Source organism: Homo sapiens, chromosome 19 (assembly GCF_000001405.40).
Source record: "Homo sapiens chromosome 19, GRCh38.p14 Primary Assembly".
Taxonomy (NCBI): domain Eukaryota; kingdom Metazoa; phylum Chordata; class Mammalia; order Primates; family Hominidae; genus Homo; species Homo sapiens.
The window spans coordinates 29,291,331-29,314,703 of record NC_000019.10 but is presented as its reverse complement, the minus strand read 5'-3'; the positions used below and the strand labels follow the sequence as shown (position 1 = coordinate 29,314,703).

The window sequence follows — 23,373 nt, the reverse complement described above, 5'->3', positions numbered from 1 at the left end:
GCAGGGAGTTTCCTAGAGAGTGGGGAAGCAGCTTGAGGTTCTCAATGGCCTCCTCCTCTGGGCCCTGGGAGGCCACTGGGGGCTGGAGAGCAGAGCAGCAGCTAGAGGGAATCTGGTGGCCCTGGATGGCTCTCTAATGCATCCTGCACGTCTGAGGACTGCAACTCCACCAGCAAATAGTGGGGGGATGTGTGCTGGCAGTAGGGGCCCAGGCAAGCCTCCCAGGCCCCTCCCTCTCCCAACCATCCCTCTGCAGTTCCTGCCATAACTCCACCTTATCCCAGCCCCGAAATGGGACTCAGGCTCTTCAAGTTCAGCTGCCCTTGACTTAACTTATTTCCCTGTTGGGAGACGATGTTTTTGATTTTCAGCTCAATCACTAACCTTGAGCTAGTCATTTCCCATCGCTGAGTCCCAGGTTTCCCAGTGGAAGTGGGAATAATACCTCCTTTGCTGGCTGTTAGGATAAATGAGAGAGTTCTGTACAGGGCAAGGGACATCGTAGGTGCTCAATGAATACCAGATCCTTCTTATCTGATCCTTTCAGACCAACCAAGATCCTTCTTTTTTAAATTCAGTGGACTCAGCATATCACTCAAAATACTTCACTTAAATTAAAAAAAAAATTAAAGCTTATGTAATCACCAGCCTAAGTGGCTGCATTAGCCTGTAATTCTGCCATCTTTTTCCAATAAACAGATTGTCTTCCTCTCTCTTTCTCTCTGCGGACGGATCTGGAGGATTTGCAATGTGCAAAGCAGGTGGATTGATCGGTTATTGATCGAGAGTGAATTATGACCCCTTCAGGTAAAAAGCTTCCCATAAACACAATTTAGTAGCTGCTGCCGCCAGCCTCGGCAGCCAGAGCTGACCATCTCAGGACTCCTGCAGTAAGATAATCAATACCTTATATTAGTATTAGCAGCACAGATTGCTTTATTTGGTAGCTGTTAGGAGTGTCGAGGTGGGCTCCCGTCACCTGCCTGAGGTGGGAACAGCAGTGATCTATCAGGGTTCAGGTGCCCCTGCACAGAGGCTCAGGGGGTGGTGGGAGGTTGGTGGCCCTGGTTTTGCTTCAGTTCTGTCCCTTGCTGATGGGTGTAACTCTTGCCCTTTTGATTTCAATTTTCATCTGTAAAATGGAATTTCTGCTACTCATTCTGCTTACCTCCCAGCACGTTTGTATCCTAGGGATAAGGATGGATATGAACGCATTTTTGGAATGCTGAGGTCATATTAAAGATGCTTGTTTTCCTTCCCCTCCTCTAATGCCCCAAATGCTCTAAAACAGACGTTATTTCTCCTGGGTATTGAAACAGCTTCCAAACAGCATTTTTTGCTTCTCAATTCTTTCTCCTGTGCCCTCCATCCCCACTCCACAAAACACACAAGCACACAAAACTTCATCCTATAAGTCACTGTCAAACTCACATTCTTAAAGCAGAGTTGTGATCAAGCCCTTCTCTCACTCTACAACCTTCAAGGACTCCCTATGCCTACAGGATCAAGTCTAGGCTCTGCAGCTGGCAATCTTTTACAAAATGCCTCATTTTTCCAGCTAGAGTTGCATCTCACCTGTCTGCTTCCCATCCGTGTCTCAATTTCACCAGAATAAATCATGCCCCCTCTCTCCAGGAACATCCCTGTTCTCCACTCCCCTCTCCCAGTCCTAGGCCCTCTGAAGTAAAAAACTCTCTTTTATGTCTTCGTGACTCCATCTCCTAAAAGCCACAGAGCTTTGTCTCCTCTGCCCCTTGCTTAGAACGTAGTGGCACAGTACCCATGTTTGCCGAACCAAGAGAGATACAGTTGATTGGAGAGTAAGGTTCCCTTCCACACATTTCAGCTGAGATAAGCACATTCAGCCAATCAGTTCTACCATAAGGAAGCTTGTGGCTTGGCAGCTCGGTGATGGGTGATTGCAGAAAGATCAGAAGTGACTTTGGAAAAAGGCTATCCAATGTCCAAATGGAAGGTGGTGGAGCGGGTCTGAAATGCCCTCAGCCTCCACCCTGCCCCTTTGTGCATTCTCTGAAGCAGCTTCTGCTTCAAGCCCAGCAGAAGGCCTCCCACCTCCCCCTGCTCCACACCCACTCCCCCTTTCGGTGACTTTTCTTCTGGAGTCATCCCTCCTTCATTCTCCATCCAGGCAGCTGGGAGGGGCTGGTTTCTCTCCTTGCCTTAAACCCAGCCTAGATACCGGGATGCCAAGTTCCCCTAGATGCAGTGAGTGATTGGAGGATGGTTATATATTTCCCATGGGGTCCAGGCAAGCCTTGGGCTCAAGTGAAGGAGAGTGTCCCTTTCCATGTGTAAGACCAGAACCTGCACATCCCTTCTACCAGGGAGGAAGAGCCAACCAGGGAAGAAGTCCAACAGGGGAGCATAGAACTGAGACACAGAGCCAAATGAAACCCCAATGGCATTATCAGAGTCCCTAGACCACTGCCATGCCAGAATGTACTCCCGGATATTTTAGTGTTGTTTGCTAACAGATCCCACGCCCCATCCCACTCGCCTTTTCTTTCATGTAAGCCATTGCATTAGGTTGGTTTTAGATACAACAGATGTGCCCCATGCTTTATTTCTCTCTGTGGGTGCACACCCTGAAAAACCCTAGGAGGAGGGAGAGCTCACCCAAGCCCACCTCCCAGATAAGGGCTGAACTAGCATCCCATCAGGTCTTCCAACTCCCAGGCCAGCATCATCCACGCTAAGCCAAGCAAAGATGTTGCCCCTCCAAAGATTCCCTTGCAAAGAGATGGCTCACTTCACATCGCAATTCCAGGCCTCTGTGGATGGTGGTGGGAGACACCTGCTGCCTTCTGCCACATGGCCGTGGGCCTCCCCAGGAAAGCAGCTCTATTCCCAGGAGGCCATGGGGACAGTTTGTCCCAAGCCAGTGCTGCTGTACCTCTCACAATAGGCAGAGCTGTGCCGGGGCTTTGCTTAGGGAGATGATCCCTTCACATCCCTCTGCTAAGGACCATTAACTTCCCTTGAAAACAGCTCCTTCCTGCCCTCTTACGACATCTCTGGGACAAGTGTCTTACAACATTCCCCACTGGAGGCTGTTCTCATGCAAGTGCTGGCCCAATTATGGCGCCCCGCTCCCAGATGGCTCACTCCCAACGGCTGGGGGAGGACATTCATTATGAGACCGGCAGGTGCCATGTGGGCGACTTCATTGTCTTTGCCAGTAAATGAGATTCATTAGGTGCACTGCAGGGCGGTGGGATGAGCGCGCTGAGTCTGGATGCTGATGCCGGATGCTCTCTCATTTCTGCTGCACAGACTTGATCAAAAAGGAAAGCACGGCAGGTCTCTGACATTCTGTTTTCATTCCCCAATCAGCACAATGCCTCGCTGTCAAGGGGGGTGAACCCCTGCCAACTGCAAACCCTTAAGTGGAGTCTGGGCTGGTAATGAGGCTAACGTCTCCACTGAGGAGGGGCCCTTCATCTGGGGGAGGGAGGAGGAAAATCATTGCACTCCTGGCTCCAGGAAGCATGAATATACCTCTTAATTTGGAAGGATTTGTAGGAAAAAAAGTAGATTTATTGATTGTTACTTTTCCCCATGACTCTTCATTCTCAACTCCTAGTGTAAGTTACTAAGTTACTAAACAAGCCACAGATGCCCCGAAGATGGCCTGTGGATGAATGAGGGAGTGAGAACAATGAAGGGGGCCCTCATCATTGATGTGAATATCACTTCTGAGCAGCTGTGTGTGCCAGGCACAGCATTTAGCACTTTAGATGGGAATGTATGGGCTGCGCAAGGTGGCTCACACCTGTACTTCCAGCACTTTGGGAGGCTGAGGAAGAAGAATCACCTGAGGCCGGGAGTTTGAGACCAGCCTGGACAACACAGTGAGACCCATCTCTGCTACAAAGTAAAAATAAAAATAAAAAAATGATCTGGGCATTGTGGGGCACGCCTGTGGTCCCAGCTACTTGGGAGGCTGCCGTGGGAGGATTGCTTGAGCCCAGAAGTTCAAGGCTACAGTGAGCTGAGATTGCACCACTGCACTCCTGCCTGGGCAACAGAGCAAAACCCTATCTCTTAAGGGACAGAGAGAAAAAAGAATGTATGGACTAATTTAAGTCTGTGGGCTGGTGTGTAACCAGGTTCTGGAGAAACAGGGCCTGTGATATGGACTCTTGTGCAAGTGTTTTGTCGAGGGTGTGCTCTCAGGAGAAGCCTGTGGGGAAAGAAGGCCAGGCTAAGATGGGGACTCGGGAGGGGACAGCACCAGCGTTCTCTTCCCTTTGAGGTGCAGGGGTGGGGCTTTTGTATACCAGTCAGTCAGTGCTTGGCTGTAAGCCCCCTGGCGTGTGGTCCCGATCTCCCAGGCATCTCTGGATAAAGTGGATTCTCTCGGAAGGGGTAGCTGTGATCTGTTAGCAGTTGTGCTGTGCTGTGGACTGTCCAGTAAAGAGGAGCACCGGGTGGGACCCTGCCAGCATCTGTGGCAGGGAGCTTTAGAGCCTGTGTTTGTTCAAATCCTCCACTTCCATTTGCGCACCTGAACCTTTCCCTGCCTCAGTTTCCATATCTGGGAAGTGGGATAATCATAATGCCTCCCTCATAGAGTTGCTGTGAGGATTGAAGGAGAAAGGACATGCCAAGGGCTTAGAGCAGTGCCTGGCACTCAGCGAGGGCTGTGCGGAGGGGAGCCGTGTGGTCTTAGTGCATTGAACTGGCAGGAGCAACCTGTCTTCCTGCACGGTCCTCCACAGTGCCCTCCGCGAGCCTGGGATCAGAGCGGCTCCAGGTCACCTTGGCCCTGCACAGGAGCCCTCCCTTTTGGCTCAGCAGCCCTCAGGACAAGGGTAGGGGCTGGGGAGAGCGGGCTGAGCCCTGGGATGGGAGCAGGGGAGCAGAGCAGCTTAGGTTTTAGGTAGTCCCTTTGTGTCTCTCCCCGAGGCTGTCTGGCAGAGAGAGGCTCCTCTGACAACTGGATTTTTCATGCTCTTCCAAACGAGCCTATAAAAATTCAGCCCATTTGGTTTGCAGACAGAAACTTTGCTTTTAACATTTTTGAGTTATTTCCTTCTTTCTCCCTTTTCAGGGCTCAAGTTATTTCAAAGGAAGAGGGTGCAGCGAGCGGGGCTGCGCATTTGTCAGGCTTATTTCCCTGTGGGTTTGTAACGATGGGGGACTTAGCTTAAACCCACATGACATTTGTCACTTTGCTATTGCTTTTTTACCCAGAGGGGCTCTGTCCTCAGTGGCACAGTTTCCTTTTTATCTGTCTGAGAGGGATAAACGAGCAGAGCGCAGGGAGGAAAGGAGCCTGGCATTTGCATTTTTATGCATGCCTTCTGCTCCCGCAGGCAGACATCCCCTTCAGCCCTGTCAGCTCCAGCCTGCTCATTCAGGGCAGGACGCTGGGGGTCAGCAAGGCACAGAGATGGTGGGGCTGGCTCCTCCCTCAGCCCCTCCCTGGGAGAAGCGCGTGTACCTGAGATGAGGACACCTGCCTCTCTGTGCCCTCAGCCCCTCCCTGGGAGAAGCGTGTGTACTTGAGACCAGGACACCTGCCTCTCTGTGCCCTCAGTCCCTCTCTGGGAGAAACATGTACTTGAGATGAGGACACCTGCCTTTCTGCGCCCTCAGCCCCTCCCTGGGAGAAGTGTGTATACTTGAGACCAGGACACCTGCCTCTTTGTGCCCTCAGCCCGTCCCTGGGAGAAGCGTGTGTATCTGAGATGAGGACACTTGCCTCTCTGAGCCCTCAGCCCCTCCCAGGGAGAAGCATGTGCACCGAAGATGAGGACACCTGCCTCTCTTCACTCTCAGCCCCCTCCCTAGGAGAAGCATGTATCTGAGAGGAGGACACATGCCTCTCTGCATTCTCAGCCCCCTCCCTGGGGGAAGCATGTATCTGAGAGGAGGACACATACCTCTCTGTGCCTTCAGCCCCTTCCTGGGAGAAGTGTGTGTATCTAAGATGAGGACACCTGCCTCTCTGCACTCTCTGACCCCTCCTTGAGAGAAGGGTTTGTACCTGAGATGAGGACACCTGCCTCTCTGTGCCCTCAGCCCTGTCCCTGTGAGAAGCGTGTATTTGAGATGAGGATACCTGCCTCTCTCTGCCCCATTTCTGTTCCTGACTGTGCACAACATCTGCTCTTTCACTCCTTTAAGGAACCCATACTGATAGTGCCTTCCACATGCCAGGTCCTGGGGTGCCCCATCCTCGTGGAGCCAGCCTCTTCCAAGTGACATGTGCAGTGACTGAGGTCAGTGGCACTGGGAACAGTGGCAGTGAGGCGTGAGCCCCAGAGCCAGAGATGGCCCAGCTGGGTCTTGAATAGAAAGTGGCTGAGTAGAGCAGGCATGGTGGCCCACACCTGTAACCCCAGCACTTTGGGAGGCCCAGGCAGGCAGATCATTTGAGGTCAGGAGTTTGAGACTAGCCTGGCCAACATGGTGAAACCCTGTCTCTACTAAAAAAATATACAAAAATCAGCCAGGTGCGGTGGTGGGTGCCTGTAGTCCCAGCTACTCAGAAGGCTGAGACAAGAGAATCAGTTGAACCTGGGAGGCGGAGGTTGCAGCTAGCCAAGCTCATTCCACTGCACTCCAGCCTGGGCGACAGAGCAAGACTCCTTAAAAAATAAAAGAAAGAAAGTGGCTGGGTAAAAATGGGGGGTGCTCTGGGTGGGGGGCACTGAGGCTTGAGGAAGGATGGGAATGGGAGGAGCTGCCAGTGTCTGTGCAGCTGGGGCGTCAGGTGCCTTGAGGGGGCAGCGGGTCAGGTGGTGAGGGGTAGAAGTAGGTTAGGAGCCAAACAAGGTCTGGCAAGTTGTGCTAAGGATATTGAGCTCTGCTTCAGCCAAATGGTACGTGGGTGACAAGAGAGGGCTCTTTGGTGCGCCATGGAGATGAAATGGGAGGAAGAAGATTGGAGGGAGGGAGACCCCTGAGGCCAGCAATGATGAGAGAGACAGAGGAGACCCCAGAAAGAGGGGAAAGGCAATGCTGTACCTGGCTGCGTAGGAGGAAGAAGAGGGAAGGTGGGGATGAAACTGGCAGCTTTCTGGTATAGGTGATGGGAAAGGTGGTGTCACCATGTGAATCAGACACCAGGTAGAGGGGCCCTGTGTATGTGTCCTTAGGATAAACCAAACAAACATGTTGATGATGTGAACACATATTATAATTATGTGTTCCCCCCACTCCCAATTAACCTAAAAATTCAATGCAATTCCATTTTAAAAACCCAATACAAAATTCTGTGGAATTGCCGGGCATGGCGGCTCATGCCTGTAATCCCAGCACTTTGGGAGGCTGAGGTGGGTGGATCACCTGAGTTCAGGAGTTTGAGACCAGCCTGGCCAACATGGTGAAACCCCGTCTCTACTAAAAATACCCAAATTAGCTGGGTGTGGTGGTGTGCATCTGTAATCCCAGCTACTCAGGAGGCTGAGGCACAAGAATTGCTTGAACCCAGGAGGTGGAGGTTGCAGTGAGCTGAGATCGTGCCACTGCACTCCAGCCTGGGCAAAACAGCGAGGCTCTGTCTCAAAAAAAATAAAATTGTGGAATTTGTCAGAATCATTCTAAAATTTACGTGGAAGACTTAAGGCCAAGATTAGTTATGATAATTCTAAAAAAGGAAGAGAAAGGGTTGGTATTTCCTCTATCAGATATCAAGCCATATTAGGAAGTCATAATAAGTGTTAAAAGTTTGGCATTGCCTTGAAGATAAATATATTAGCAGAACAGATGAGATGGCTGTCCTCATTCCCTTATGAGCTGCTTGCCCCTGCACCAGCAGAGTTGAGTCTTTGTGATTGAGACTATGTGGCTGGCAAAGCCCAAAATTTTACTATTTGACTTTTAACAAAAATGTCTGCTAAGCACTGGCCTACACGTAGACCCACACATTTATGGGAACTTGGTGATGGATGGAGATGGTAGTACACACTAGGAGACTCAAATATTAGTTTTCCTATGGGAAGAAAATTAAAATCAGTTGCTAACCTCATCCTGTAAAGAAACAAATTTCCACATGGATACAAGATCTAAATCTGAAAAGCAGAACTTTATAACCTTGAAAAGGTCATTGATAATCACGTCTTTATCATCTTGGGGTAGAGAAAGACTTCTTAGACAAGGCACAAAACACAGCTCATAAAGGAAAAGATGGTTCTGTGATGACTACTACATGCATACAAGCACACACACACACACACACACACACACACACACACACACACACACACGATCTACCTTGCAAGAGACATCATAAACCAAGTTAACAAATAAGGCCAGAGTGGAAGAAGACAGGTGAGGAAGCGGTGCCCAGAACATGTCAAGAAGTCCTACATGTGAATTTTCTTGGCAAAGGACAAATAAACCAAATGGAGAAAAGGTGAAGACCAGGAGTTTCAGAGAAGAGAGACCATCAATGAACAAAAATAAATGAAAAATGCTTATAAAGTCAAACAAAGGTGCTAACCTGCTTCACAGGTACCCAACTGACAAAACTCAGAAAGTCAGATGGTTTATCCTGAGTGTTGGGAAGTGAAGCAGCTGGAAAACTCACGCTCAGCTGGCAGGAGAGTGAATGAGCATGGTCACTGCTCTCCTTATGGCAACATGAGATAAAATCAAAGATGTGCATGGTCTGTGACCCAGACCTGTGTTTTTATCACGTGCCCCAGAGCATTTCTCAGAGATGTGCACAAGGGCATTGCCAGCAGCGTTGTTAGTGGTATGAAGAATAAGAAACGACCAAATAGCCCTGAGCATGAGACTGGACTCATAAATTCCAATATAGTCAGGTATTGGACTACTACGCAGCAGTTATGGCAACATGGATCTATCTCGAAAAATTAATGCTGATGGAAGAAGCAAGTTGAGAAATAAGCTGTGATGGCATTTATGTAAATTACAACTCACAAAGCAATGTGTCTGTTGTATATCTATATCTATGACTAATCTATCTCTCTATCTGTGTATCTGTCCTATCTCTTTCTATTCACCTTATCTATCATCTGTCTTTCTGTTTATCTATCAATCTTTCTATTATCTTTTCATCAATCTAATCTTTCTTTCTGTCTGTATCTATCTATATCTTTTTATCTAACTATCATCTTTCTGCCTGTTTATCCTTTCTATCTATCTATTTATCTATCTTTTTATCTATCATCTTTCTGTCCGTTTATCTATCCTTTCTATTTATCTATCATCTATCATCTATCTTTTTTATCTATCATCTTTCTGCCTGTTTATCCTTTCTATCTATCACCCATCTATCCATCCACCTATCTTTTATCTAATTATCATCTTTCTGTTTATCTATCCTTTCTATTTATCTATTGTCTATTTATCTATCTATTTATCTATCATCTATCTATGCATCTATCTTTTTATCTATCATCTTTCTGTTTATCTGTCCTTTCTATTTATCTATTATCCATCTATATATATTTATGTATTTTTTATCTATCACTTTCTGTCTGTTTATTCTATCTAATCTATCTATTTTTATCTATCTATCATCTTTCTGTCTATTCTATCTTTATCATCAGTAATTCAATCAATCTATCTATCTTTATCATCAGTCATTTCAATCTACCTATCTATCCATCAGTCTGTATAAAGTTGGGACTAGATATATCTCTTCACCAAAAGAAAATTAAAATATTTATGAAAATATAAGAATGTTTGTGGGGAGAGGCATTTCAATTAAATCTGTGAAATTCTGTTTCTTTTATGAAAAATGAATTTCGGCACAATTAAGAACGTATTTTCATTTGCTAATCATGGATGCCGGGCACATAGATGTTTATTCCATTATGTTGTGGATTTCTGAAATTAGCAAAAAGGAAGAGAACCATGATGCAGGCAGGAGAGGCATAGTCCCTCATGGGGCCTGAACTCCCAGCTCTCAGACCTGGCACCCATGGAGTTTGGGAGAGGCTGGAGCTTGGATGCCACTTGTGCACGTGGCCACCTTTCCTGTCTCTGAAATATACCACACTGCAGCTAACTTTAGGAAACTTGAAGAAAATATCTGGGGAGACCAGGTTGACTTCAGAAAACAAGGAGGAAACCAGGCACGAGGGTCCATAGGAGTGAGGAAAGGGGTCCTCTGTGGGCTGTGTGTCCTCTATGTGCCTCTGGCCCATGACTCTCCTCACTCCCACCTCCCAAACTCCCATGTGTCCTTCAGTGGAAATCAGTGTCACCTCCTCTAGGAAGCCTTCTTGGACCCCTGTGCGCAGCTCTAGCTCTGCCTTTCCTGCACTGCACTGCTGTACTGACATCTCTTAAAGTGGAGGGATGGGAGCTCTGCATCCTCCAGACTTTGCACAATGCCAGGCTCACAACATAGCTGGTTTGGGTGGTGTGAATAGAGATGGGTAGGAGTTTGGGTAGGTTTGGGTTCAGGACAGCTGAAGGCGCAAAGCCATTGCAATAAGCAAACAGTCTATGGGGGCATCACACAAGACTCCTTCCTGGCTACAGGATAGAAAACTTAACCAGTGCCTCCAAGGGAATATATCAGGTCCCTAAACTGCAAAGTCTATCTGGCCTCAGGCTCATCTGTATAAGAGGCTCAATTGTCATCTGGACCAGGTTTATTTCCCTCTCCTTGTCTCTCCTTTTCTCCCTTCCTCCACCTCTGGATTTCCTTTCCTGTGTGTGGGAGCCATTCTCAGTTTCTGCCCTGGATAGAGAACAGAGGTGAGTGTGGTAGACACAGCCCGCTTCTGTCCAGGAGGACAAAGCAAGGTCCTCTCTCTCCCGGCTGCTCCAGCGAGGTCCTGGGGTTAGCATGGCTTGTCTCTGATGTGTCCCGAGTCCATCCCTTAACCAGCCCTCGCAGAGGTGGGAGTTGATGGTGGTTTGAGCCTAGATCTAGAACTAGGGGTGGGATCAGCCCCATCCTCAACAAGGCACTGAGATTAGGGGTAAGAGGGTGGTTTTGGGGGACACTTTGGATGAATGGATATTGACAGAAAGCCAATGCTTGCTGCCTGCAGAGGGACTGAGTTGACTTACATCTGGAATGGAGGAGCAAGGGCGTGCTGCTGAGTTCCTGACATCACCTCGCCTCTTCAGAGGTTCTCAGCTGAAGTGTGGGGCAAGGGAAGGCTGAGACCCTAGCACCTCCTCCCTGACCATGCACATCAGAAAGCTGGCTGTGAGTCAGCTACCAGCCCTCAGCTCTTCTTCTCTGCTGGGTTCTACAGGGGCAGAGTTTCTGGCTCCTGTCCCAGGAGCTATGGGTAAAACATTTTAAGGAGTCATAAACCAAACACTGAATTTTCAGAGTTCAGAAGTCGTTCTTGACACTATTGGAAAGGTGTGGTTGTCCAACTATTGAGCTGTTGGTTTTGCATTGCAGAGAGGACAGAGCTGCCCTTTACATTTGGTTATAAATCGGAGGCATTTGCTCATCTCTGTGGGCCTTGGCTAGACATTAAGAAAAGAAACCGGATGGATGTGACCGACGCCTCCGCTCAGCCGACGGTGGGAACTGGGAGTGATGTGAGGTTTTACACTAGAGTTTCTATAATGCTTTGAGTTGTTTCGCAGGATAAAACTATTAATAGGGTTGTTAAAATTGGAAATAAATGTTCAGACCACCAGTTGGTAAGGCTGTCCACATGAGAGCTTCATATGTACCCAGCATCTAGCATTTGCTCAGACAATCAGTCCGCACAGAAGGTAGAGTTTCTGAAACCTGAGATGGCATAGGGGAGCGCACAGGACTTTACATGGCTCAAACCCAAGGTTGCTAACATGAGGTTTAGGAAAAATGGCTTCCAGGGCATTAATAAAAATTACAAGAAAAACAATGACCCCACGCGCTGAGAGCCCCTGTGTGCCCTCTCTGTGCTGTGCGCTTTACCTTCATTATCTGTGTTCACTCTCACAACAGCCTCTGAGGCAGTTGTTTCATTACTAGTTCACGCTGCAGAAACCAAAGCTTAGTGAGAAGCCAAGGGCTTAGCTCGAGGTCATGGAGCTAGTAAACCACAGAGCTGTGGTTCAAAGCCAGGCCGACTAATTCTAGAACTCACACTTTTAAGCTTTCCTGTGGAAACTGAATGTGAGGATGACTGGTTTAAAAGAATGCAATATTTGTGAACGCGAATATTAGCCTCCTACCACCCAGGCCCTCCTGCACACAGATTACCTTTTTTGAAATTCAAATCCCTATTTGAAATCCACTATGGGAAGTCACTAGGAAACACCAGGAGAAGCTGCTTTTGTTAAGTGAGCACCATCCTCAAAAATACATCGCTTTGACAAATGAAAGATGTTCTCATTATTAATCATAGCTGGAGCACTCATTGACTGAGTCTCTGTGTGGTGTCAGGCCCCATTTTAATCTACTGCTGCTAACAATTATTTTCCAAGAGTTTCACTCTGGTCCCATGGGGTGTTGTGGCCGGGGTTGTCTGCCTGTCCACCAAGATTCTTTCTGCTTCCTCCCAGGCACAGGTGTAGCCCACAGCTCCCAGCACCCCCAGGCATGACCATATGACTGTGTTCTACCCAACCCATTGTGGGTAAAAGTCACAGATTTCACACCCATGCCTGGCCTGTGGAAACCTCCCAGACACAATCCTACACCTTTCCCTTCCTTGGAGACCATGGAAGTTGTGTGCTGAAAATTGTGGGGCCACAGGATGGACAGAGCCCAGTTCTCTGACTCATCCACTATTCAGGGACTCGGACTTTACTTGAGAAAGAGATGAATGTTGGTTGTGTGAATCTGCTGAGACTTGGGAGTATTTGGTTACAGTAGCTCATAGCTAGATGCTACCATATCTCAATGATCATACAACACGTTTTTTCCATCTTTGCAAATTTCTGAAATTACTGGCGTGGGTTTTACAGTCCTTAGCATCTTAGCCTCGCTGTGGGCCTGAACTGAGATCTAATTTCAAGAGAATGGATTTGTGTTTATTTCTTCTGTTTCACAGAGCTACTACCAACATGAGGTCAAAGTGAAATTGTCTACTTTGGGTTTTTCGGACTACACTGGTCCGTGTGAACTCAGACATCAAATCTGCCTGAGTACCAGTTCTGGGATCAAACTGGTACTCAGGTCAAAGAAGAATATTTTCTCCCTTCACTTGGCGCCTAGGTTGAGACATGCCAATTTCCTTGTCACTTTGTTTACATGGTGGGTTTATATTTCTCATTTACTGATACACAGGGGCCTCGGCCTTTGTGTCCTGGCTTTATGTGGAGAACTTCTATTAAATACGTTATGTTGGGCATTTTTTCTGTTTTAGTGGCATTTAAAATGATATCACATTTGACAAGTGATGGCATGTTGAATTCAACAAAACATAGTGTATTTATCTTCAGTTTACAGATAGAGAATGAAGACCTCTGAGGCACAGAGAGATGGGGATTCGAATAGCAAGTGTCACAGCTGAGCTAGGGATCTAGCAGTCTGACTCTTTCCTGAGCTCTTAGGCACCACACCACTGCAGGGTGGCCCTGTGACCATGCTGGGCCACCAAGTAGAGGACGGGTAGGCTAAGGGTTGAAAACGGCTCTGCCATCTTCAGGAGTTTGAATTTGGGTATGACCCTAAACCTCGGGTTCCTCAACTGTACACTGGGGATTATATGCATTGCTACTTTATAAGGTTGCAGTGAGGATTAAATGGGATCACAGTGTAAAAAACTGAGAGGTGCATGGAGCAGATTCAGAGATGCTTAGGTTATTCTTTCAACCACGGTGCTCTACTGTCCCCCAGGAATCGACAGGGAGTATTTACGCAGCATCCACCCTGTTCAAGCCATGGCTTCTCACTTAAGCCTATGATAGAGTCACAATCATCCTCATTCCACAGATGAGAAACTGGGCTCAGAGATTTCAAGCGACTAGACCAGGCCACACAGGCAGCCGGCGGCAGAGCCAGGATTCAAACTCAGGCCTGCCTGGCCCTGGAGCCTGAGGTCTCTCCTCTCTTCCTTGCCTCACTCACTCTGCTTGCCTCTAGCACATGGCATTCTGTCCATGTTAGTATATATCTTATGGGAAAGGTCCTGGGAATGGTCCTAGGTCTTCTTGAAGACTTCTCCCTGAATGGCCAGAATGGTTCCTCCTGAAAACGTTAAATAATCTCTCTGTTGCTGGCTGCTAGCTGAGGTCACTGGCTCTGGTGAGAGGGCAGCCAGCCTAAAGTTGCTTAGGACAGAATCTAACCCGGTGTGGACTGTGCACTTTTGGGTGATGATTGCAGTGACCCAGTGCCTCAAATCATGAGCTGTGCTAGTCAGGGAAGGCTTCTTGGAGGAGGAGGCACTCCAGCCAGGTCTGGAGGGATGGCAGATTCTGGGGAAGGGGTGGAAAGGGAATGAAGAGCACATCAGGCTAAGGGTCCAGTGTAAGCAGAGGGGTGGAGGAAAGAACATGCATTTAGGGCTGCGGGGAGAGGAGGGAGATTGTGCTAGAGGATGGAGGGACAACCCTGCCTGTGCCACTTGCTGGGGGGCTCAGCGGCTGAAAGACTTGCTGCTGTAGTCTGTGCCTATGGTTTAAAGGCCAGAGGATGGGGTGGACTGAGCAGCCTGTTACACCCCAGCCCCCGCCAAGGAGTGGAGGCTTTGGACACATGCCTGTGGCCTGGGCCCCAGCTCCTGCCCGCCTTCCCTAGGCCTCACTCTCTGAGCAATTTTCTTAAAGCCAAGCCCAATGCCTCACACCTGGAATCTCCCGGCAAACTGTCTGCCTCAGCGTGAGGCCAGCACAAGGGAGGAAGGTGTTGGCACATGTCACAGAGATGCTACTGCCAGGTACTGCTGGCTCCTGGGACACCAAGACTGGTGTCAGGGCTTGGCTCTCCCCATCTCTTGGCTCTTTCTTCTCTCTGTTGGCTCTCCATGCTGACAGAGAGAAGAAAGAGCCAAGACCTCTTCCTTTCCTCTGCATGGGGAGCACCAACAGCTCCCTCCTGGACAGACTCCGACAGTGTTTCCACTTCCCATTCCCTCCCAGAGCAGCCTCTGCCCACTCAAGCAAGAGTGCCTGCCTCCTGCATGCTCCTGGCTGTGGGCTGAGTTGCTGCAATGGCCTGTCATGGCGCGTGCGTCTGGCCGTGGGAAGGGAGTAGGGGTGGGGCATGGGGCAAGACACCCAAACCACAGGGCCTGAGGATGGGGCAGAGCAGGGTCCCAAAGGGAAACCATCCACTGTTTCCAAGAATGGAAAGATAGGAGCTGGGTGCTGGCAGGCACTGACACCCCCGAGGCTGGACCCCCGCGATGCTCTGCCCCCAGTGCCCTGCACTCGGGATCCGGCTGGTCTGGCATTCTCTGCTTCTCCGTGTGCAGGAGGAAAAATAGGAGTAATCTGTGCTCAGCTCTGAGAAGAGGTGGCCTGCTGACAGTACCTTTTCTAGCTCTGGAGATGAGCTGCCCCTGGGGACTGACTCCTGGGCACGCCAGCTGGCCTGAGGGCCTGGGAATGGCTCTCTAGCCCCTGATGACCTGTCCAGGTCTGAGTTTCTGAAAAGCCCTCCTCTGACACTGGGAACTGGCATTAGGTGTGCAGGTGGGCTGGCAGGAGGTGGGTGTGTTTCTGTGACCACAGGGGCCTCTGCTGCACTTCTGCAGGTGCAGGGAGGAACCCAGGATGTCTCGGGAACTGCTACAGGCATCTTTCACTGTAAACACATGATTTATACACTCAAAATACACCCTAAATGCCAAAGGTTTTCTCACTGCTGACAAACAGAGTGTTTAACCAACACAGAGGTTTTCCTTGGGTCCATAAGAGAAGAATGCTGAGCAAAAGGTGAAATTTGTTTTTAACCCTAATTTTCAAATTCAGGCTTCCTCAGCCAAGTGTCCTTGCTGTCCTGAGACAAACCAAGAAACAAGAACACGTGTTCAGGACCTAACATAGGGCAGGCACATCCTAGGAGGAATCAGGGCCACGGGACATTGTGTGACTTGGCAGATGGATCACAGGAGGGCAGCTGAGACCCTCTTTTCATGTCAGAAAGGCTGCCAAGGGGCCACTGGTCCACTGCACCACCCTTGGGTGCAAGAGGATGGCTATGGGACCTCCATGTGATGAGATCCTATCTGGGTAGGAAGGTAGATGCTGCTGGGAACGTGTGCTTTGCAAACTGTGCAGAAGACACTCACAGTTGTCCTTTATTCAAACTTGTATACATTTATGAGGCACAAGTGTAATTTTGTTACATGGATATAATACGTAGTGGTGTCATCTGAGCCTTTAGTGTAGCCATTGCTGGACTAACGTATGTGGTACCCATGAAGTAACTTCTCCTGCCTCACCCCCTCCATCCTCCCCACCCTTGGGTGTCTCCAGAGTCTATCATTCCACACTCTACATCCATGTGTACACATTATTTAGCTCCCACTGTTAAGTGAGAACGTGTGGTATTTATCTTTTTGTGTCTGAGTTATTTCACGTAGGAGAATGGCCTCCAGTTCCATCCTTATTGCTGCAGAAGACATGATTTCATTCATCTTTATGGCCAAGTAGTATTCCTTGGTGCATATGCACTACATTTTCTTCGTCCCGTCTTCGGTTGGTGGACACCCGGGCTGATTTCATGCCTTTGCTATTGTGAATGGTGCTGGGAAGAACATATGAGGGCAGGTATTCTTTTGATACAGTGATGTCTTTTGTTTTGGGGAGATGCCAGATGCACTTCTCCTCAATGCCTCTGTGCATCCAGCTCATCAAGGCGGTGACGTTTTAGTGAACGATACAGCACTGAGTGTGACAAGGCCTCGGTGTGGAAAGGGGGCAAGTGGTGCAGAGCAGGACAAGGAGCTCTGTGTGGCTGGAACACACTGTGGAGGGGAGGGTAGCATGTATGAGGCCGAGGAGGGCCTGGGTTGCATGGTCATGTGGGCCATGGAGGGGAACTTGAACTTGATTCCCGAGGAGTGAGAAGCCAGCTCAGGGACTGAAGCAGGAAGTACCATGATTTGGTTTGCATTTTATAGACAAATCTGGTGCTGCTGGGAGAATGACTTGACAAGGAGCGAGTGGGGGAACCCCGAGTGCCGCCCAGGACAAGATTGGCACTGAGCGAGTGGCAGTGGAGACAGCCTGAGGTTTGTTGATTCCAGACCTCCTTTGATGTATTTTGGAGGTTAAATCTACAGGACATATGGATGGTTTATATTCAGGGCTGAGCAAAAGGGAGCTGTCAAGGATGTGCCACTCCTAGATTTCCAATTACGACAAGAAGCCGTGATTGACTCAAGTGTGGGAGACTCAAGTTCCTTATATGATGCACTGTGGGCTCTCAAGCAAGCAGTGGAGAAGAAAAGTGTGAGTCTCCTAGGGATAGAACTCTGCCCTGCGATCTGTGTTTAAGATGTATTGGCAAATAGATGCCATTTAAAGCTATGGAACTGATGTAATTATTTAGCAAGAGAATATACAGAGAAAAAACAATAGGGCCAAGATCTGTTCTGAGAAGACACCAACATTTAGAGAAGGTTGGGTGAGGAGAAACTCACAGAGCAGAGAGAGAGGGAAGGAAGCCCAGCAGAATGAGGTATTGCAGAAGCTGAGGCCAGGCTAGATCGAGGTGGGGGCAGTAGCTGGGGTTAGTGCTGCCCATAGATTGGGAAACATGAGAATGACCACTGGGTTTGGAAACAGGAGGCTGTGCTGGTATAAGTGGTGGGGAACAGCCTAGACTGGGCAATTGAAGATTGAATGAAAGGTAAGGAAGCAGGGCAATGTGTGCAGACCACTCGTTCTGGGCACATTGCTTCCCAGTTCCCTTGCAGTTAGATGAGGTCACATTCCTAATTCTGGCCAGTGAAATGTGAGCAAAGTGCTACCTCTCATTCCGGGTTGATCGAGTGAAAACACCCTGGACACCCTTCCTGCTCCCTCCTTCTGCTGAGGAGGCTGCTGGTTCCAGATGAAGTAGCTATGAGATGGTGGAGCCTCCATCAGCTTCAATCCCAAGTGACTGTGTGGAGCAGAGTCTTCTTCCCTACAGCTGATAGGTACAGGGAGCCTCCTCTTTCCCCCAGGTCCATGTCTCTCTGCCTTCTCCTCCATAGCTTTAGTGACTGGATGGGCCAGGAGTCCACAGGCTGGTGGAATGACCTCCATGCTTCTCGGCTTGCCCTTCTCTGGTTCTACCGGGAGTGAGAGAAGGAAGGGAACATACAAGATAATTGTACTCTTCTTCTCTTTTTATGGTCCTGGTGTTCATGCCACTGTGTTTCTACCAGGCCCTCCTAATCCATCAGCAGCCAGGCATCTCTCAAATCAAATATCTTACAGGCCCTCCCAGGAACAGATCCCGCCACAGAGTGAGTGCTGCCAGCTCTTCATCACCGGGAGGGCCATCCATCCATCAGCCGAAGGGTTATTATTAATGATGAGCAGAAAATATCTACTCAGCTGCTCTGTTGTTGTTATTGCCCTTAACTATGACTTAAAGAAGAAACATAGTCAATACGCTTAATCTAAGGTTTTCTCTGAACATTTTGGTAACAATTCACTTTAAGTAGTAGGCAATATCTGAGGACTGGCTAGAGTAAATCTGCAGTGTAATACAACCAGGTCTCCAATCTGAAGAGCAAAATAGAAATGCAGGTATTCCCTTTTTATATTGTTGTCAACATGCAGAAGGGTTGCATCGGGGGGACCTGCTGCCCATCTCTGCACCTTCCACTCCAGGTTGCACCAGACCCTGGGATTCACTTGGTCCCATCAGTAAAATGGTGGCCTTCTGCTCTTCTGATCCCAGCCAATAGTGGACTATTGGCAGTGACAGCCTAAACACCCCAGGTTCTCACCACTGAGCCAGCAAATGTCCTTCATTATTCATACTTTGGAGTGCTCAGCTTTGGTCTGAGTAGTCTTTATGCACCAGCCATTCTTGGAGGCAGCCCTGAACTCCGAGGTCACTCAGGAGTGCTCCTCAGGTCACCAACCCACTAGCCCCCGTGTGGCCATGTCCTGGGCAGGAGATCAATCAGCACCAAGGCCTGCAGGACGGGGATCTCCAGTGGGTTAACTTTATCTAATTGTCTTTGTTAAACTACAAATTTTCTTTCTTTATTTTTTCCTTTTGGAAAGAAGAACTTTGTTTTTCATAAAGGGTTGCACCCTGCAGGGTGGCCACTCTGACCGGCTGGGAAGCGTAGCCTCTGATGAGAAGCCAGAAACAGACACTTTCAGGGAGGGGCAAAGGGAACAGGAATTTGTGCTGAGTTGGATGGCTGAATATACATATTCAATAAGCTGCAGGAGGAGTCATGAATATTTATGAGAGGTGAAACATGCACATGCACAAGTGAGCTGCATGCCCCTTCATGGGCCCCCTGTACCAAAAATGGTGGTTTTAGCATGACCCAAGGGTAGAACTTTTGGCCCTCTGATGTCAAAAGGTAAAGCAGAGGACACCAAAACCCTCACTGTGCATCCTCCGTGGACTAGGCAGAGCCACCCCATGGTCAGTGGTCTCTTATCAGGCAAAAACGAGGAGCAGCGTCAAGCAGTGGGTTGATCACAGCAGTGGACTGTGTTGGAAGGGTAGGTTTGTGTTTAGCCCTTAGGAAAGAAAGCCTAGTGGTGGTTAGCAAGGGAAGGGAATAACGAGACTTGTCTGATGCTCCCCATCCCATCATGGCCGAGAACTCAATGTTCCTGATTACTCTGGGGTCCCCTTGGCCAAGAGGGGATCTGTTTAGTCAGTTGGTGGGCTTAGAATTTTATTTTTTGAACTATACATTTTCTTATTCTTTTTAAATACAAAGCACAGCAGCAAACTTTGGCCTGGTTTTGGCAGAATGCTCACACATTTTGGCCTTTGTGAACATCACCAGTTTTGAGAAATTCAAGAAGCAGTTCTATCACAAACGAATGCTCTGCTGAGTCATTCTTTTAAATTCAGGAAATGTTTCAGTGGTTCCTATGTGCATTTTTTGAGTGATTTCTTGAGTAAGGTTATGTTGTAACAAAATGCTCTTTGTGACCTCTTCTGAGAGATGGTGGGGGTGGTGGGGTGGGGTGCAATGGCTTTCCAGGACAAGCTCCATACAGTAGTGGATTCTCCTGCAGACAAAAATATCCTGACATCAGCATCACCTTGCAATGGCACAGCCTGATGAGTCACATACACGTGTTTTCCATCCTTCAAGGTCCTCTGACATTTGATAACCACAGTATCATCCCCCAAGGTAGATAAGATTGAAGGTCTTCACAGGATGAAGGAGAAAGCTGAGGCCCAGCATTGTTCAGTCCTTGCTGAAATCCCATACCTCTTAAGTGACGTGGAGAACTAGAGCTGGGGTGGCACCTTCCTCTCCACTGCACAGACCAACAAAACAGAGCAAACCAGACTTCGACTTCAGGGCCAGCTGGGGCAAGGGCCTCAGCAGACACTGTTAAGGTCCTGTCCAGGTTCATGTGGATCACTCTTGCCAGCTCTGTGCCCCCATCCTCCAGCGGCCATGTGCTTTGCTCTAAGTGGACTGCACCAACAGCCTCCTGAGGACTTCTCTTTGGCCCCTGGAGGCTTGAGCTGCAAGCATGAAGGAGCCTCGGGTGCCTGGCAGCTTGCCCTTCATCCTGTGGGGGTGTGAAAAACCAGTTCCTCTGACTCAAAGCTGGGCAGACTGTGAGATGCAGCTGATATTCCAGACCCCGCCCCCCCTCAATGGGGTCTGGCTGAGGCTGGAGACCTACCTGAAATAGCATCTTGCAGGGCTTCTTCCCCTCTCCTGCCCTCTTTTCCCTACTGGGTTCTCCTGTCTTGATAAATCACCTGCCCACAAATCACCACCCCAGGGGCAACGTCTGGGAGACCCTGACCGAAGGTAAGCCTTGTGCTCGTGTGGGTGCAGTGTGGCCCCCCAGGTTGCTGACAATGCCAGGTCCTCAAGCATAGACTCCTAGCTGGAGAGTTGCTCTGCTGGCTTCCAATATTACGTCCAGTTGATTTGAAAATATTGCCATTTACTTCTAAAATGCGAGGCCACCTGGGATCTGTGCACATCACACTTACTTTCTCCTCCTAGTTCCAATTTTCCATCTAAGAGCACAATCTCCAGATTCCTGAGTCCTCCTGAGTAACACAGACTCCTGTAGGTATCAGGCAAAGGGAGGGTACGGTGGCATGCCGCAGCCCACACGTTTTTCCTGAATCTACGACTCTGCTGATCACCTCTCTAAAAGCAGGGCTGAGCTTCAGCGCATGAGGCCAGCTCATGCTGGACAGCTTGCAAGGGACAGGTGGCTGATTTGTCAGCAAGTACACAGGATGCTCTCCGGAAGCCTCTCCACACCCACGCTAGGTGGGTCTAGGTCTGCAGGGCTGCACTGACCAGGCTCCCGTGACCTCTGTTTCCAGCTCGGTTAGTCAATGGGGGCGGGACTGGTTGGATGGAAGAAAGAGATCGGGATATTCATCTGCCCTGCTCCCTCCCTGCTAGGCTAAAAGTGGCAGGGGTTGGGCTCCTCTCTGAAATCCCCAGCTCCTTCCTGTGGCCTCTTCCACAGTGGCACTGTCCCCTGTGGGTCAGGCAGTAGTGATGTGCACAGCCGTGGCCTTGGGTTTACTGCATCCCTCTAGTCCTCTCTATCCCATGTGAGCAGTCCCTTCACTAAACTCTTCTCAATGACTCTGAGTGTGCCTCAGTTTCCCCAAGACCCCTGACAGATACAGAAGGTGACACCTGTGTGTTCCTGGTGGCCTAGGGAAGACCCCATGAGGGTCTCTCCCTCCAGAAACTCTTCTCTTTTCTTTGCCCACAGTTTCTTCTCTCTCGCTTTCTACCTATTGCTATTTTTTTCTCATCATTCAAGCTGATGTTCTGATGTCCCTTCTCCTGGGGGTCTTCCAGGATGTCTCTGGTCAGCTTATGGAGCCTCCCACCAGGCCATCTCAGGCATTGCTTAGCCAGGTTGGTTGCTGACAACTGGAACGCCCTAGGACATTGGCATAATCCGAGGGCAGGGGCCACATTTGTCATCCCTGGGCTTCCCTCTCTGGCATGGGACCCGGCTGAGCTGCGTTTTTGGTAGTGATAACTGGGTACCAAATAGATCTGAATTACAGCCCAGAGTCCTGTGTTCTTCAGGCTTAAGGGGGCCACACTTTCCTCCAACTTCAAATATGCAGACTCAAGCCCCTACTCTGCATGCTGTGAGATGTCTAGTGTCTTCTCAACTTCTCCGAGGATTCCTAAGGGAGCACATATCCCTGGATACTCAGCCCTGAGATAGGAGGCGGGACTTGACTTTGGAGGCAGGGCTCAGACACCGGACCAAATTGCGGACTAGCTAAAACAGGTACAAGGCAGAAGCAGCTTCCCGTAAGACACACCCACCAGTGTACCATGTCAGTTACCATTGCCATGGCAACACCTGGGAGTTACCACCCTTTTCTTAGAAATTTCTGCATAACCCTCCCCTTAATTTGCATGTCATTAAAAGTGGGTATAAATATGAGTGCAGCACTGCCTCTGAACTGCTACTCTGGGCCCACTGCCTGTGGGGTATCCCTGCTCTGCAAGGAGCAGTCCTTCTACTGCTGCTGTGCACTGCAGCTTCCATAAAACGTGTCTGATACCACCAGCTCACCCTTGAATGCTTTCCTGGGTGAAGCCAAGAGTCCTCCTGGGCTGAGACCCAGTTTTGGAGCTCACCTACCTGCATCTGCCCTGCTGAGTTCTTGTCCCCCACTCTCTTTCCATGGCTGCTCTCTTCTCTCTATCTTAATTCACCCCCAATGTTCCTCTTTCTTTGTTTCCCAAAGCATAACTAATGAGAGGCTAAGATGTTTCATACCGAAGGGTCAGGGACACCAGATAGTTAATATCAGCATATCACAGAATGCACCGACTTGATGTGGCTGTTTTGTGAGCAATCCTTGCCTTGTGGCCCCCTGACCATCCCTCTACAGGGAGTAACTCCTGACTGCCTTCCTTCCAAGGTCCAATCCACTCCTGCCAGTTGACCTTTGTGTCCCAAGCTCCGTCAATTTTCTTCTTCGCATCACAAGCCCCCTCCAAACAAACAAGACAAAAACTCCAATCACTACAGAGCAGAGCGCTCTGCCTTTCTCCTTCCCACTGTGCCCTGGGGCCTATATTTTCACACACACAAAGAGATCCTCTGAAGTATGTTTCTAAACAAAAAGGCCACCTACCCCTACGAAGAACTTGGCCTCTGCCTGAGAGTGCTGCAGCCACTGCAGTCAAATTTTGTTTTAAATAACAGCATCTTTTCTTCTTGTTACTCAATTCTAACTTAGGCTTCTGGGCTGGGGCCCCGGGGGTCACTTGTCTATTCCAAACTTTCCTAGGAGTCATTGAGGCTGGGCACTGTTTTTCACAATGACTTCTGCTCTCATTTGGTGCT

The 23,373-nt window shown here is 49.1% G+C and overlaps 1 long non-coding RNA gene across 1 annotated transcript in view, besides 3 other annotated features; it reads left to right on the top strand.

The window, feature by feature from the left end:
• Positions 1-23,373, top strand: part of VSTM2B-DT (VSTM2B divergent transcript) — a 238,742-nt gene that overhangs the window by 211,047 nt on the left and 4,322 nt on the right. The window lies entirely within an intron of this gene.
• Positions 2,527-3,026: an enhancer, noted in NCBI's record as "H3K4me1 hESC enhancer chr19:29802585-29803084 (GRCh37/hg19 assembly coordinates)". NCBI's record gives its function as "activates a minimal SCP1, AML or CMV promoter by ChIP-STARR-seq in naive H9 embryonic stem cells {active_cell/tissue: H9 hESC(naive)}" and the evidence as "EXISTENCE:reporter gene assay evidence [ECO:0000049][PMID:30033119]".
• Positions 3,027-3,528: an enhancer, noted in NCBI's record as "H3K4me1 hESC enhancer chr19:29802083-29802584 (GRCh37/hg19 assembly coordinates)". NCBI's record gives its function as "activates a minimal SCP1, AML or CMV promoter by ChIP-STARR-seq in naive H9 embryonic stem cells {active_cell/tissue: H9 hESC(naive)}" and the evidence as "EXISTENCE:reporter gene assay evidence [ECO:0000049][PMID:30033119]".
• Positions 5,091-5,921: an enhancer, noted in NCBI's record as "H3K4me1 hESC enhancer chr19:29799690-29800520 (GRCh37/hg19 assembly coordinates)". NCBI's record gives its function as "activates a minimal SCP1, AML or CMV promoter by ChIP-STARR-seq in primed H9 embryonic stem cells {active_cell/tissue: H9 hESC(primed)}" and the evidence as "EXISTENCE:reporter gene assay evidence [ECO:0000049][PMID:30033119]".